The sequence below is a fragment of the Homo sapiens genome, chromosome 7 (genome assembly GCF_000001405.40).
Source record: "Homo sapiens chromosome 7, GRCh38.p14 Primary Assembly".
In the NCBI taxonomy this organism is placed as follows: Eukaryota; Metazoa; Chordata; class Mammalia; order Primates; family Hominidae; genus Homo; species Homo sapiens.
Genome location: NC_000007.14, coordinates 31,961,971 through 31,979,285, shown reverse-complemented (window position 1 = coordinate 31,979,285; position 17,315 = coordinate 31,961,971). Strand labels below are relative to the sequence as shown.

Here is a 17,315-nt window from a genome sequence, read left to right as displayed (position 1 = left end):
GTAAGTAACAACACCAAGATAAGAACTTGTGTCTGTGTAACTCCAGGGTGAAACTCTTAATTGTCAATCTATACTGCCTCATATACTTCTTTATTTCCATACAATTACCCATGATATGGGAGGCACATAATGTTTGAGTGGTGATTCTGATTGATGGATTAAGAGGGATTCTAAGGCTATGTTTTATTAATGATATCAGCCATAAATGCTTGAGTTGTGAAAGTGAATGTTCTGTATATTTTGCTGCACACAGTAAAATGCCTTTACCTGAGTGTTTGTCATCTAGTCCTATAAACAAGTGTGGCATCATTTGGAGACCAACACATATATTTCAAGAGGAATTTTGAGAATGAGATTTTTATGATGAGGAAATATACCAAACCTTTCCGAATGTGATGAAACTATGAAATGAAAATAAAGTGGTTCCAAAAGTCTGAGACCATTGGCTCCCCCCACCTCCAGAAACCCGCAGATGGATGATGTGAACATGTCCTGGTCCTCTTTTAAGGCATAGGATCTCCTTAATCTCTTCCAGAAATTTCTGTTGAAAAGTGGAGTTCCAAGACAGTTCCAACATCCCTGGCATCAGGTTAATGGTTAAAAAACACGCCAGAGTCCTGGGTTCCAGTGCTGCATCTACAGGTTGCTGTGAAGGTCTTGGCAAGAGAATCTGCTTCCTTCCACTCCACCTGAAAACCTGTAGGTCAATCCTTCAGCTCCATGTTTAGGCTTCTTACTCTGTCTGATTCTCTGGCAAAGCTGGGCTGCCTTCACTAATTTCTGAGTTAGAAGACCCACTTCTGAGTAACCTGGCCTACTTAGCAAGCACACATTTCTCCCATCCTGACCCAGCTTTCTGAAAAGACCAATTTGGTCTGCCTTAATGTCTGCTTAATGCTTTCTAATTTGACACTGATTTTCTAAACATCTGTACTCAATTTAAGAGTCTTCTAAAATGTACATCCTCTAAACACCCATCAGTTAACATTATAATTTTGTGAGACTCAGTTGACAGAATTGAGTACCCCTTTGCCAAGGTTTTATCTGTAGGAGATCTGAATTGGAGAGACTACTTCCTCACCAGGTTATCCCTGTAGTCTGCCGAAATCTATGTTGAAAATATCTGGTCAGATACCTTTTTCAGAAGAGGTAGTAGTGGGTGGGGGTGCAGTGTATGAACTTTGGAGTTGGACAGCCTGGATTTGAACCCTGGCTCTGCGAATGATCAGCTTGGTAGCCTCAAGTAATTTATTTCACTTATTTATATCTTAGCGTCTTCATCTTAAAGTGAGGATGATTGTAGTTCTACCTCATTGAGTTCTAGGGAGAATTTAAAGAGAAAAACACAAGAAAAGATTTAGCCCAAGGACTGGCCCATAGTAAGCAGGCAATTTGGATACTTTTATTATAAGTCAGTGGTGGCTTTTTTCACTATTCTAACTTTGTTATTCTAACCTTATGTTAAATGGATTTATACTGGGCTTATTCATTAATTTATTTAATAGTTGTTGAGCAACTACTGTTTGTAACTCACTGGGTGGTTGATAAAGATAAGATCCTTGTTCTAAAGGAGCACATGTTTTAGTGTACAAACAAGATGAACACACAAGTAAATAAAATCAGGTTGTACTAAGTGTTATGATAGTAGTGATTAGTGTAGCATGATACAAAGTAATTTGGGTCAGGTAGAATTTTTACAGTTGATGGAGAAGGGGCAATCAAGGTGGTGACATGGGGTGGAGGTGAGGGATACATTCTAGGCAGAACTATAGTAAATTCAAAGGTGCTGAGATGGAAAAGAGCTTGGTATTTTCTAGCTATATAAAGAAGCCTAATGTATTGTCTTAGTCTGTTTTCTATTGCTATAACAGAATTACACAGAATGGGTAATCTATAAAGAAAAGAAGTTTATTTAGCTCACGATTCTGGAGGCTGGGAAGTCCAAGGCCATGACACTGGCATCTGGCGAGGACCTTCTTGCTGCATCATCATATGTTGGAGGGCATCAAATGCTGAGAGGGCATGTCAGCTCAGGTCTCTCTTCCTCTTCTTAGTCCCTTCATGGGGACTCCACCCTAATGACTTTACCCAATCCTAATTACCTCCCAAAGGCCCCACCTCCAAATGCCATCAACATATGAATTTGAGGATTGTTCCAACATATGAAGTTTGTGAGACAGATTTAAACTATAGCAGATATCTAGAGTAATAATTCTTAAATTTAGTGTTTCTGAATCATTGAAAGGCTTGTTAAAACACAGCTTGTTGAGCCTTAAACCCAGACTCTCTGATTCAGTAGGTCTGGGATGGGTCCTGAAAGTCTGCATTTCTAAAAAGGTCCTAGGTAATGATGCTTCTTGTCCTGGGACCACCCTTTGAGAACCACTGGCTTGAGCATATGAATTGGTCAGTGGCAGATAATGAGGATAAAGGGGCAGACAAGGGCCAGGGTGTAAGCATCATGGGGTCCATGGCGTTTGCTTTTTATTCTAAGTACAATGGGAAACCTTTGAAACATGTTGATTTGGCACATGATATAATTCGATATATGTTTTAAAGGGCTCACTCTGATTGCTGTGGGGAGACTGGGTATAAAGCTGCTGGAATTGTCCATATGAGAGACTAGTGGTGTAGACCAGAGTGGTGGCAGTGGGCTGCACAGATTCAGCATGCATTTTGGAGGTAGGCTTTCCAATGTTTGTTGATAGTTTTGATATAGCAAGAGGAAAAAGTACTAGTTAATGATGACTTAACTCATGTCACCTATTTAATAGAAACCATATATCAGTTAAGAGATGTTCATCTTAGATTGTTTTGGAACTAGTCATTCTTTCACATACTTATGAATTTAATTATCCCTGACCCTGAGTCTTTTGTTAACTTTCTGAAATTAAGAACACAATAACAGTCCTCTTATGCTTTGTAACATGCATTTCACCTGAAGATCACAAGTTTCCTCTTCTAGACTGGTTCTTTTATCCTTTCATATATCATTTGTTCAACAAATGTTTGAATAGTTGTTGAATGAATACATTTCTTCTTACCCACATTGGATTGCAAACAGAGATTCCATAATTCTTCATCTATTATGGAAGCATGCCGTTATATATTATTCAGTTACCCAGATTGTATGTTAATTTGTTATGTGCTAACATGTTGATTTTCCTTCTAAGAAAACTGTCTATAGTTGATATATATTTTCCAACCTTCTTAAACAGTGTTCTAAGCAGAGTTTAGTATTTTCTTGATGGCTCATGGCCTGATAATAAACATCATTTATTGGAACATCAGTATTGTGATTTGAAAAGAGACAAAGATACCATGGGATAGACTGAATGCACATCAACCTGAGTTGTGATACTTTTTGATTGGTCACTTTTCGGTTAAATGTGGAGGAGAGTGTAAATCAGTGATGTGGTTCTTAGCCTGTCTGGTATTCAGTAATATCAATTATCGAACCAACAACCTAAGTAAGGAAGTGAAAGTGAAATCATATCTAAGTGGCACAACTTTACGTGGCTAATCTTGAAGATTCTTTGCAAAAGTCTGTAAGGTAGTTATACCTCCACTTTACAGATGAGGAAATTATGTGCTCACTGTTGGGGCGACTTGTATAGTCATATATATAGTAAGTGGTGGAGCAGGCTTTAAATTCTCTGTCGGTTTCTCTGACTAAAACTTACATTCTTTTTCATATATATATATATAAAATTAGATATGTTTTAAAGGGTTCACTCTGACTGCTGTAAGGAGACTGGTTATAAAGCTGCTAGAATTGTCCATGTGAGAGACTCCCTCAGTGTTACTCCCATCCTTGGTGTGTCACCTTCTTGTTAGTCTCAATACACTCTTGCTTATTATCTTTATAGGTCTGAGAGGAAGGGATTGGTGCTACACGGACATTTTGATAGAATTGCAGATGCTTTTGTCACCTGTAAGGAAAAAGTATTTATAGACATTGAATGACTAAGTACTCTGGAGGAACACAAAAAGAAATGGCCAATTCTACCCAGAAAGTCAGAAAAGCATCCTAGAATATAGTAGTCAGGTTGAGCTGTGTCTTGAACCCCCCATTTGGTGTTGGTCAGGAAGCTGTGGGGAGGAAGACTTCTAGGCAGAAGGCAGAGAGAACAGGGTGAGAGGCATAGGACTGTAGTATGCAGCCACTTTAGATTTTCTGAAAACTGCTGGTTGCTCAGTAAATAGAATATAGGTGGAGTGGTGGATCAGAGGGCTGGGGGAACACAGGTGGCAAAAAAAGACAAGAAGTGAGTTAAGCAAGGGCTGTATCATAAAGGATTTTGTATGTTTTCATGAACTCGGCCTTTGTTCAGAAGGCAATGGGGAGAACCTGCAGGATATTTTTCCAAATAGTTTTATTGAGCTGTACTGTACACATTATAAAATTAATCTGTGAGAACTGTATACCTCTGTATTTTTAAAATTAATTTACAGAGTTGTACAACCATCACCACAGCAGTTTTCGAAAATTTCCATCATCCCCCAGAGTTCTCTGATTTCCATTTGCAGTCAATTCCCACACTACAGGTTTTTTAAGGCCTTAGTTTTACATTTTATTCAAGAACCCTAGGAGTGAGGTGAAGAGACTTAAGGGACATAGGCCAGAGGCTTGGCTAGCCCTCCCTCCCTCCCTGCCTTTTATCCATTAAGGTTATATGTGTTCAACACTCAGTTTGTACCAGTATGTCCCAGTGGCTCCCTCCAGTCTCAGGGTAAACGTCATTCAAAGACAGTGCCATCATTTCAGTGGGTGTTGTTAGTACAGTTTAGTGTGTCAAAACACTTCAGCTTTCTCTTAGTTCACAGGAAACCACATTTCTGCAAATGGTCCCATATTAGAACAAAAAGATAATATTGACCTGCCAGTTCTAAAAGGGATAATTTTATTTTGAAACCTGTGCCATGTTAAAATTTGACAAAGATTTTTGTTGTGTGCCTGTATCATGTAGCTAATTTTTTTGTATTTTGCTTTTAATCAATAGGATAATGAAAAGACCTGCTTTCTGTATTTGAGAGTTTATCTGTCCTGATAAAAATCATTTAGGATGTTGGTTTGTGGAGAAAATGACATCAGCATTGATATTTAATAAAAGTAGTAAGCCAAGGAGACTAACTGCTTAACTTCAACTTTAAAAAAACAATCACAGATGTCTTTTACTATATGATTCTGGCAGAAAAAAACATTGCCCACACCAAGTACAACTTTAGTATAAGCTTAATTCTGAACAATGAGAGTTACTAATATCCAAGCCTACAGGAGCCATACTGTCCAGCTCTAATACATTTTAAAGAAAATCTTAATAAAACAAAAATAAACAAAAACATCTGGAACTAAATCCTGGATTATTCCTTGTCTCTTTATCTAGTTTATAAGGACCTTGTCAATTTTGGTTGTTGATTCTATACTACTAAACTATATGTACATGATTCCATACTACTATACTAGACCACTTCCAGGCATCATAGTCAAGAATGTAGACCCCGTAACCAGAGTGTCTGAGTTTGAATTCTGGGTTCTGTCACTTACTAGCTGTGTGACCTTGGGCAAGTTATTTAGCCTTTCTGGGTCTCAGTTTGTTATTTAGCCTCTCTGGGTCTCTGTCCAACTGTAAAATAAGAATAATAATAACTACTTCATAGGAATTTTTTAAGAATTTAATATTAATATTTGTCAAAGGGCTTGTATCTAACACATTATAAACATTATATTGTGTTATAATTCTATCCATTTGTATATCAGCTTGTCAGAGCTGTTGTTATGCAAAGTTTTCTCAGTGAAAAATAACATCAAACTTTGACTTTTTCCCATATGAATTCCATTCTTATTTTTGTCTTCAGTTTTCAGAATTTTACTTATGATGTGTTTTAGTGTGGCTTTCTTTGGGTTTATCTTACTTGGTATTCTCGTAGCTTCTTAAATCTGCAGGTTTGTTTTTTAGCAAATATGGGAAGTTTTTAGTTATTTTTATGAATATGTTTTCAGCTCTACTCTTTCTTTTCTCCATCTAAGATTCCAATGATATGACTGTTGAGTCTTTTGTTTCTGCCCCACAGGTGTCTCTTTCTATTGTTCTATCTTCAAGTTCACTTATTTTTTTTCCTCTGTCACATATATTTGCCTATTGAGCCCTTCTAGTGAATTTTTTTATTTATTTCAGTTATTGAAGTTTTAAGTCTCATAATTTCCATTTGGTTCTTCTTTATATCTAGTACCACTGGGTAGAGGATGAGAGATGCCAAGCCTGCAGGAGCAGAAACTATTTTCTCTGGCTTGGGCTGCCCAGTGCTGATGGGGTTGTCACTCAGTTCCTGCTTGTGCTACCTGTGAGGGTGAAAAGTGCTTCTATGGGTTGGCCTGGCATCACCAAATTTGGAGGCAGAAGATGCCAGGCTCATGGGGGGCAGAGAGTGCTTCCTCGGGCTGCCTGGTGCTGGCTGTGCTTCTGCTTAGTCTTTCCTGGTGCCTCCTACAGGGGAAGAAGCACCTACCTGGGACATCTTCTGCCTCCGGATGGGTGGTTAGGAGATTTTAGGTTGCTGTGCTGCTCCTTGACTTTTGAGGTCCCCAGCCAGTCTGTGTTCTTCTTTCACCTTTCAGAATGTTCTTATGATTGTTTGTTGTGTTATATCCAGGGTTTGGGGTCATACTTAGCAGGGAAAAGAGTCTATGCCGTCTTGTCCAAAACTAGAGAAGCTCATTACTTTTTCTAAAATATTCTGGAACCGAGCCCTCAGAATTGTAGCTGCACTTCTGCACATGACAATGACAATAAGAATTACCTCAAATTTTACATTTTGGCTCTTGCTTAGAGACTTTCTCTAAGATTCTATGAAGAGTTTTGATCTTCTGTTTTCTCAGGATAAAGTCAGGTTGACATTTCTCAGAGAGAAAGTGGGACTGTAGTTGGTGCTACTTGCAGGATAGGGTTTGCAACCTGTGTAATTGGGGTGCGGCCTTTGGAATGAGATATTGAACATTTTAGATATCATCTGAATAAATCACCAAATGTATTTCTCAGCAATTGCAAACTATATTTTAACAATGTTCTATTCCCTTTTAAGAATGGTTATTTAATAATACGTGGTTGTATACTACCAGTACAGTTTAAATTATCATTGGCAAATAAGTGATTTGTAAAGCATTGGCCATAGACCATAGAGGTTGCTGGGTCCTTCATTTACGAGTGTATGATTTTTGAGTTTGGATATCAGCCAGGGTTAGGCAAGAAGCAGACTCCAATTCAGATGGTCCAAGAGATTTTGATGAAAGGACTGCTTACAAATATGGGAGCAGGTAACACAATTACCAAAGGGTGTTGGACACCCAAGACTAGTTACAGTGGGCGGTTATTACCATCCTTAGTCCTGGAGGTGCAAGGAGAGGAATTAGCACTACAGGAAACCAGTGGGTAAAGGAGCTATGAGAGAGGGATCTCCTGTTGGAAGCTGGAGACACGGAGGGACAGTCACTGTCAGAAAACATACCTTGGAGGAAGAAGGGAGTGGGGAAGAAATACCTCAGCTCCTCTCCTCCTGAGCTCTGATCTCTTGTTGTTAGTGCTTCCCAATGACTGGGTTCACCCAGAAGCCTGCCTATGAGGAAGCTCTGGCAATGCCTCTTTAGGAGGAAGCCTCAGGTCATACAGCAGGGCAGGGCAGGTGGCAGGATGACCCACAGTGGGTGTAGATGCAGACTGAAGAATCAGTGTAGGCCGTAATAGTGAGGGCTGTCATCTGTTGGATTCTTGCTACAAGCCAAGCACTAAGCGCTTTATATGCATCATCCCTAGCGTGATCGTCAGAGACTCCCATCATTTGATTGATGAGGAAACTGAGCTGCAGCATGACTAAATAACTCACTCAAGATCACATGGCTAGCAAGCAGCAAAGCTGGTGGTATTGGAACTGTAGCTTTCAGTTCCCAGGTCTGTGTATATACCCCTAAGCCTCAGTTTTCAAGTTATAAAATAAGGGTAATATACCTACCACAGAAGGTCACTGTAAGGGAGACCCTGCAAAGTGTTGAGCTCAGTGCAATACATGTAGGAAATGTTCAACAGTGATACATTTCCTCTGATTCTGCTTTCTGTCATCTTTCTCTATTTTTATTTTTTATGTATTGAAACAGAGTTTTGCTCTTGTTGCCCAGGGCTGGAGTGCAGTAGCGCGATCTTGGCTCACTGCAACCTCTGCTTCCCAGGTTCAAGCGATTCTCCTACCTCAGCCCCTGGAGTAGCTGGGATTACAGGCATGTGCTACCACACCTGGCTAATTTTGTATTTTTAGTAGAGACAGGGTTTCATCATGTTGGTCAGGCTGGTCTCAAACTCCTGACTTCAGGTGATCCTCCCACCTCAGCTTCCCAAAGTGCTGGGATTACAGGCATGAGCCACCACACCCAACACTCTTTCTGTCATCTCTCTCTTTTGCAGATCAACATGGAAAACAAACATTATGCTACACAGCTCATGTGACTGGGATATTTTCCTCCTTAGCAGAGAGGGAATGCTTTAAACAGTCTTTCCCCCATGTTCTTCAAGGATTATAATTGAGGCATCAGTTTGATCTACATGTTGAGGGAAGTGACTAAATAGAAATTCAATGCAGGGAGCCAAGATACTTAATAAGTGTCAGTGAAAATAGTTTTACAAGTTGTTTACTCAACAATCACAGTTTTCATTTCTAAGGAAAGGTGAAACTACAATAAATTCTTAACCAAAGAAAGGAGATTTCTATCTAGAACAATTGAATACTTCTAAAGGAAGAAGGCTGCCCATGCGTTTTTTGGCTTTCCCATATCTTAGAAACACATGCTATTGAAACTTTGAGAAGCCATTTCACAGGTGTGTTGTCACTTTTCCTCCCTCCGCCCGAGACTTTTCTGTATTGTTGGTTGTTTTCACTATTTGAGAAGTTAAAGTATTAGAATTTAGTAGATATTGGGGCTCGACATAAAGATATCCTTCTGGTTTCATATTAAAGCATCTGTGTTTATATTGGCTTCTTATCTGCAAACTGTCCACTGACTCAATGATATGTCAGCTCGTTTGTTTTGGTGGGATATTTTTCCACCACTTCCATTCTCTAGACACTTTTTTCTTTTTTAAAAAAATTTTATTATTATTATACTTTGAGTTTTAGGGTACATGTGCACAACGTGCAGGTTTGTTACATATGTATACCTGTGCCATGTTGGTGTGCTGCACCCATTAACTTGTCATTTAGCATTAGGTATATCTCCTAATGCTATCCCTCCCCACTCCCCCAACCCCACAACAGTCCCCAGAATCTGATGTTCCCCTTCCTGTGTCCATGAGTTCTCATTGTTCAATTCCCACCTATGAGTGAGAACATGCGGTGTTTGGTTTTTTGTCCTTGCGATAGTTTGCTGAGAATGATGGTTTCCAGCTTCATCGATGTCCCTACAAAGGACATGAACTCATCATTTCTTATGGCTGCATAGTATTCCATGGTGTATATGTGCCACATTTTCTTAATCCAGTCTATCATTGATGGGCATTTGGGTTGGTTCCAAGTCTTTGCTATTGAGAACAGCACTGCAATAAACATATGTGTGCATGTGTCTTTATAGCAGCATGATTTATAATCCTTTGGGTATATAACCAGTAATGGGATGGCTGGGTCAAATGGTATTTCTAGTTCCAGATCCCTGAGGAATCGCCACACTGACTTCCACAATGGTTGAACTAGTTTACAGTCCTCCCAACAGTGTAAAAATGTTCCTATTTCTCCACATCCTCTCCAGCACCTGTTGTTTCCTGACTTTTTAATGATCACCATTCTAACTGGTGTGTGATGGTATCTCGTTGTGGTTTTGATTTGCATTTCTCTGATGGCCAGTGATGATGAGCATTTTTTCATGTGTTTTTTGGCCACATAAATGTCTTCTTTTGAGAAGTGTCTGTTCATATCCTTCACCCATTTTTTGATAGGGTTGTTTGTTTTTTTCTTGTAAATTTGTTTGAGTTCATTGTAGATTCTGGATATTAGCCCTTTGTCAGATGAGTAGGTTGCAAACATTTTCTCCCATTCTGTAGGTTGCCTGTTCACTCTGATGGTAGTTTATTTTGCTGTGCAGAAGCACAGCAAAGCTCTTTAGTATAATCAGATCCCATTTGTCAACTTTGGCTTTTGTTGCCATTGCTTTTGGTGTTTTAGACCTGGAATCCTTGCCCATGCCTATATCCTGAATGGTATTGCCTAGGTTTTCTTCTAAGGTTTTTATGGTTTTAGGTCTATCATTTAAGTCTTCAATCCATCTTGAATTAATTTTTGTATAAGGTGTAAGGAAGGGATCCAGTTTCAGCTTTCTACATATGGCTGGCCAGTTTTCCCAGAATGATTTATTAAATAGGGAATCCTTTCCCCATTGCTTGTTTTTGTCAGGTTTGTCAAAGATCAGATAGTTGTAGATAAGCAGCATTATTTCTGAGGGCTCTGTTCTGTTCCATTTGTCTATATCTCTGTTTTGGTACCATACCATGCTGTTTCAGTACCAGTACCATGCTGTTTTGGTTACTGTAGCCTTGTAGTATAGTTTGAAGTCAGGTAGCATGATGCCTCCAGCTTTGTTCTTTTGGCTTAGGATTGACCTGGCGATGCGGGCTCTTTTTTGGTTCCATATGAACTTTAAAGTAGTTTTTTCCAATTCTGTGAAGAAAGTCATTGGTAGCTTGATGGGGATGGCATTGAATCTATAAATTACCTTGGGCAGTATGGCCATTTTCATGATACTGATTCTTCCTACCCATGAGCATGGAATGTTCTTCCATTTGTTTGTATCCTCTTTTATTTCATTGAGCAGTGGTTTGTAGTTCTCCTTGAAGAGGTCCTTCACATCCCTTGTAAGTTGGATTCCTAGGTATTTTATTCTCTTTGAAGCAGTTGTGAATGGGAGTTCACTCATGATTTGGCTCTCTGTTTGTCTGTTATTGGTGTGTAAGAATGCTTGTGATTTTTGCACATTGATTTTGTATCCTGAGACTTAGCTGAAGTTGCTTATTAGCTTAAGGAGATTTTGGGCTGAGACGATGGGGTTTTCTAGATATACAGTCATGTCATCTGCAAACAGGGACAATTTGACTTCCTCTTTTCCTAATTGAATGCCCTTTATTTCCTTCTCCTGCCTGATTGCCCTGGCCAGAACTTCCAACACTATGTTGAATAGGAGTGGTGAGAGAGGGCATCCCTGTCTTGTGCCAGTTTTCAAAGGGAATGCTTCCAGTCTTTGTCCATTCAGTATGATATTGGCTGTGGGTTTGTCATAGACAGCTCTTATTATTTTGAGATACGTGCCATCAATACCTAATTTATGGAGAGTTTTTAGCATGAAGCATTGTTGAATTTTGTCAAAGGCCTTTTCTGCATCTATTGAGATAATAATGTGGTTTTTGTCTTTGGTTCTATTTATATGCTGGATTACGTTTATTGATTTGCGTATGTTGAACCAGCCTTGCATCCCAGGGATGAAGCCCACTTGATCATGGTGGATAAGCTTTTTGATGTGCTGCTGGATTTGGTTTGCCAGTGTTTTATTGAGGAATTTTCATCAATGTTCATCAAGGATATTGGTCTAAAATTCTCTTGTTTGTTGTGTCTCTGCCAGGCTTTGGTATCAGGATGATGCTGGCCTCATAAAAAGAGTTAGGGAGGATTCCCTCTTTATTTATTGATTGGAATAGTTTTAGAAGGAATGGTACCAGTTCCTCCTTGTACCTCTGGTAGAATTTGGCTGTGAATCCATCTGGTCGTGGACTTTCTTTGGTTGGTGAGCTATTAATTATTGCCTCAATTTCAGCTCCTGTTATTGATCTATTCAGAGATTCAACTTCTTCCTGGTTTAGTCTTGGGAGAGTGTATGTGTCAAGGAATTTATCCATTTCTTCTAGATTTTCTAGTTTATTTGTGTAGAGGTGTTTATGGTATTCTCTGATAGTAGTTTGTATTTCTGTGGGATTGGTGGTGATATCCCCTTTATCACTTTTTATTGCGTCTGTTTGATTCTTCTCTCTTTTCTTCTTTATTAGTCTTGCTAGCGGTCTATCAATTTTGTTGATCGTTTCAAAAAAGCAGCTCCTGGATTCATTGATTTTTTGAAGGGTTTTTTGTGTCTCTATTTCCTTCAGTTCTGCTCTGATCTTAGTTAATTCTTGCCTTCTGCTAGCTTTTGAATATGTTTGCTCTTGCTTCTCTAGTTCTTTTAATTTTGATGTTAGGGTGTCAATTTTGGATCGTTCCTGCTTTCTCTTGTGGGCATTTAGTGCTATAAATTTCCCTCTACACACTGCTTTGAATGTGTCCCAGAGATTCTGGTATGTTGTGTCTTTGTTCTCATTGGTTTCAAAGAACATCTTTATTTCTGCCTTCATTTCATTATGTACCCAGTAGTCATTCAGGAGCAGGTTGTTCAGTTTCCATGTAGTTGAGTGGTTTTGAGTGTGTTTCTTAATCCTGAGTTCTAGTTTGATTGCACTGTGGTCTGAGAGACAGTCTGTTATAATTTCTGTTCTTTCACATTTGCTGAGGAGTGCTTTACTTCCAACTATGTGGTCAATTTTGGAATAGGTGTGTTGTGATGCTGAAAAGAATGTATACTCTGTTGATTTAGGGTAGAGAGTTCTGTAGATGTCTATTAGGTCTGCTTGGTGCAGAGCTGAGTTCAATTCCTGGGTATCCTTGTTAATGTTCTGTCTCATTGATCTGTCTAATGTTGACAGTGGGGTGTTAAAGTCTCCCATTATTATTGTGTGGGAGTCTAAGTCTCTTTGTAGGTCACTAAGGACTTGCTTTATGAATCTGGGTGCTCCTGTGTTGGGTGCATATATATTTAGGATAGTTAGTTCTTCTTGTTGAATTGATCCCTTTACCATTATGTAATGGCCTTCTTTGTCTCTTTTGATCTTTGTTGGTTTAAAGTCTGTTTTATCTGAGACTAGGATTGCAACCCTTGCCTTTTTTTGTTTTCCATTTGCTTGGTAGATCTTCCTCCATCCCTTTATTTTGAGCCTATGTGTGTCTCTGCACGTGAGATGGGTTTCCTGAATACAGCACACTGATGGGTCTTGACTCTTTATCCAGTTTGCCAGTCTGTGCCTTTTAATTGGAATATTTAGCCCATTTACATTTAAGGTTAGTATTCTTACGTGTGAATTTGATCCTGTCATTATGATGTTAGCTGGTCATTTTGCTCGTTAGTTGATGCAGTTTCTTCCTAGCCTTGATGATCTTTACAATTTGGCATGTTTTTGCAGTGGCTGGTACTGGTCGTTCCTTTCCATGTTTAGTGCTTCCTTCAGGAGCTCTTTTAGGGCAGGCCTGGTGGTGACCAAATCTCTCAGCATTTGCTTGTCTGTAAAGTATTTTATTTCTCCTTCACTTATGAAGCTTAGTTTGGCTGGATATGAAATTCTGGGTTGGAAATTATTTTCTTTAAGAATGTTGCATATTTGCCCCCACTCTCTTCTGGCTTGTAGAGTTTATGCCAAGAGATCAGCTGTTAGTCTGATGGGCTTCCCTTTGTGGGTAACCCGACCTTTCTCTCTGGCTGCCCTTAACATTTTTTCTTTCATTTCATCTTTGGTGAATCTGACAATTATGTGTCTTGGAATTGCTCTTCTCGAGGAGTATCTTTGTGGCCTTCTCTGTATTTCCTGAATTTGGATGTTGGCCTGCCTTGCTAGATTGGGGAAGTTCTCCTGGATAATATCCTGCAGAGTGTTTCCTAACTTGGTTCCATTCTCCCAGTCACTTTCAGGTACACCAATCAGATGTAGATTTGGTCTTTTCACATAGTCCCATATTTCTTGGAGGCTTTGTTTGTTTCTTTTTGTTCTTTTTTCTCTAAACTTCTCTTCTCACTACATTTCATTCATTTCGTCTTCCATCACTGATACCCTTTCTTCCAGTTGATCGCATCGGCTACTGAGGCTTGTGCGTTCGTCACATAGTTCTCGTGCCATAGTTTTCAGCTCCATCAGGTCCTTTAAGGACTTCTCTGCATTGGTTATTCTAGTTAGCCATTCATCTAATTTTTTTTCAAGGTTTTTAACTTCTTTGCCATTGGTTCGAACTTCCTCCTTTAGCTCGGAGTAGTTTGATCTTCTGAAGCCTTCTTCTCTCAACTCGTCAAAGTCATTCTCCGTCCAGCATTGTTCCGTTGCTGGTGAGGAGCTGCGTTCCTTTGGAGGAGGAGAGGCACTCTGATTTTTAGAGTTTCCAGTTTTTCTGCTCTGTTTTTTTCCCCATCTTTGTGGTTTTATCTACCTTTGGTCTTTGATGATGGTGATGTACAGATGGGTTTTTGGTGTGGATGTCCTTTCTGTTTGTTAGTTTTCCTTCTAACAGTCAGGACCCTCAGCTGTAGGTCTGTTGGAGTTTGCCGGAGGTCCACTCCAGACCCTGTTTGCCTGGGTATCAGCAACGGTGGCTGCGGAACAGCATATATTGGTGAACTGTAAATGCTGCTGCCTGATCGTTCCTCTAGAAGTTTTGTCTCAGAGGAGTACCTGGCCGTTTGAGGTGTCAGTCCACCCCTATTGGGGGGTTGCCTCCCAGTTAGGCTACTCGGGGGTCAGGGAACCACTTGAGGAGGCAGTCTGCCCGTTCTCAGATCTCCAGCTGCGTGCTGGGAGAACCACTACTCTCTTCAAAGCTGACAGACAGGGACATTCAAGTCTGCAGAGGTTACTTCTGCCTTTTGTTTGTCTGTGCCCTGCCCTCAAAGGTGGAGCCTACAGAGGCAGGCAGGCCTCCTTGAGCTGTGGTGGTCTCCACCCAGTTTGAGCTTCCCAGCTGCTTTGTTTACCTACTCAAGCCTCAGCAATGGCAGGCGCCCCTCCCCCAGCCTCACTGCTGCCTTGCAGTTTGATCTCAGATTGCTGTGCTAGCAGTGAGCGAGGCTCCGTGGGCATAGGACCCTCCAAGCCAGGTGTGGGGTATAATCTCCTGGTGTGCCGTTTGTTAAGCCCATTGGAAAAGCGCAGTATTAGGGTGGGAGTGACCCCATTTTCCAGGTGCCATCTGTCATCCCTTTCTTTGACTAGGAAAGGGAATTCCTTGACCACTTGCACTTCCCGGGTGAGGTGATGCTTTGCCGTGCTTTGGCTCACGCACGGTGCGCTGCACCCACTGTCTTGCCCCACTTTCTGGCACTCCCCAGTGAGATGAACCCGCTACCTCAGTTGGAAATGCAGAAATCACCCGTCTTCTTTATCGCTCACACTGGGAGCTGTAGATAGCTCCCAGCTGTTCCTATTTGGCCACCTTGCCTCCACCCCACTTTTTTCTTAACACCTAACACAGATAAAGTCATGCTTCATGATTTAGTATTTACTAACTCCATAAGTGCTAACAGATTTTCATACATTGACTCCCAGCCTCCCAACCATTTTGTAAAACTCTTTCAGGTCAAGGTCAGTGGTTATAAAATTCTTTCATAACCCTCTCTAGCCTAATTCAATGCCAGACTGAGTTAATAAGTAGGTGCTGATTGATGTTTACTGCACTCTGTGTTTATTTCTGTCTCTTGCAAGGAAACCAATTCAAATTCACTTCTAGTTGTTCCTCCCTCTACCCTCAACTTTTAATCCTTATAAGAAAATCTTTTTTGGTTTTCTTCTAAAATGTAACAGATTACTCTCAAAAATTACAGGAAATTCAGAATAAATATACAAGCAATAATATGATTGGGAGAAAAAGAATACCAGTCATAATTGCATCACAAATATAGTTCTAAGAGTAACTCAGCAAGATATGGACAGAAGTTATATGAAGAACATTGTAGTCCTTTACTGTGGGACATAAAGACTGAATAAACTGGGAAATAGTCCATGCTTCTGAGTGGGAAGACTTCATTTTTTAAGATGAAAATCATTTCATCCCTAAATAAATGTTTAAGTATATAAACAAACAAGCAGATATTTGCTGAGCAAAATAATCTAGTGTTTCAGCATAACGTTTGGTGTTAAACATCGTACAATGAATTTCCCACCTTTTTTTTAAATAAGACTTACTGTGAGGATTGAATAAGATAATATATGTAAAATACTTAGTAGAGTGCCTGGCATATGATAATTGGTCAATAAATATAGGCAGTTCTTTTATTTTTATTAATGATGTTTATGTTGACCATCTGGCTTTTAAAAAAATGTGTATTTTCTAATTTTTCTAAAGCATTGCTTTTGTATTAAGAAGTTAACAAAAATTGCTTTTAATTAGAAGGAAAAGGGAGAAACCAAAGGCACCATAAACAAGATATATTTTTTAAAGGGGCTAAACTTAATGAGGGAGTTGACCTGGTCACAGGCTAGGTAGACGTGTCTTTTCAGAAGCCTTTTGATGTGTTCATGTCCTGCTTGTAGCTTGTCTTGGTTCTCGTATTGTTCCTGCTTACTTCTCATGTAGCAAGCCCTCACCCATTTGTGTAGGTCTTGACTGGAAAAAAGATGGAGGGGCCTTAGATGTCAAACTCTAATGTGCAGGAGTGGAATTATTTGGCTAAGACCTATCTCAGGGGATCTGATACCTTCATGCTACTTTGGTGATGTTCTGTGTCCATTTCATTTCTGTTAGCCATCTTCCCTTCTATGACTTACTGAAAATAACCATGTCCTCTCCTGCTTTCTCCTGCTGAAGCCTTCTCTAGATTTTCAGGCCAGAGCACTTTAAGGCTACACAGTTTTAGTTCCAATTCTATGCTTCTTCTATCCTTTCTCTGACCCCTCCTGCCCAGTCCTTCCATTTTTCTAGGCCTGTAGGGATAGCAGTTGAAGCAGAAATGACTCACTTCTCTTTGACTGGAAAGTGTGGGCCATAAGCATGTTCATTGCAGACTCTGTTTTCTGTCCTGATGGTCTGACATATACCAAACTGGTTTTTAACTGTTGCAAGTAGCACTAAAGGACTCACTTTTCTGTGCAGACTCCAGGGCTGGCACTGAACAGTCATAGTGAACTTGTTTTGGAAGATGTTAGCACTTAGGTGCTTCTAAGGTAAAGAGGTCTTAACAGTAGCAATACTTTGAAATGCTCTCTGGGTTTCTCTCATTGGTACTGGTTTGCTTTCAGAAAGAGGCCCAAGAGATCAGTGGGAACAAAGTATTTCTTCATTTTTGTACTATTGGAGAAAAGATACTGGAAGTTTCTTGAATATTTAGAAGCCAGAGTTTTATTTTTAGTTATGAAACTCTGGACATTATAGATAGATAACAGTATACCATCAGTTTTCTTTTGCCATTTACTCTAGATTTTACAGAGATCACTAGCTATAAGTTTTGT

The 17,315-nt window shown here is 39.8% G+C and overlaps 1 protein-coding gene across 27 annotated transcripts in view; it reads left to right on the top strand.

Moving 5' to 3' along the window:
- Positions 1–17,315, top strand: part of PDE1C (phosphodiesterase 1C) — an 811,448-nt gene that overhangs the window by 448,939 nt on the left and 345,194 nt on the right.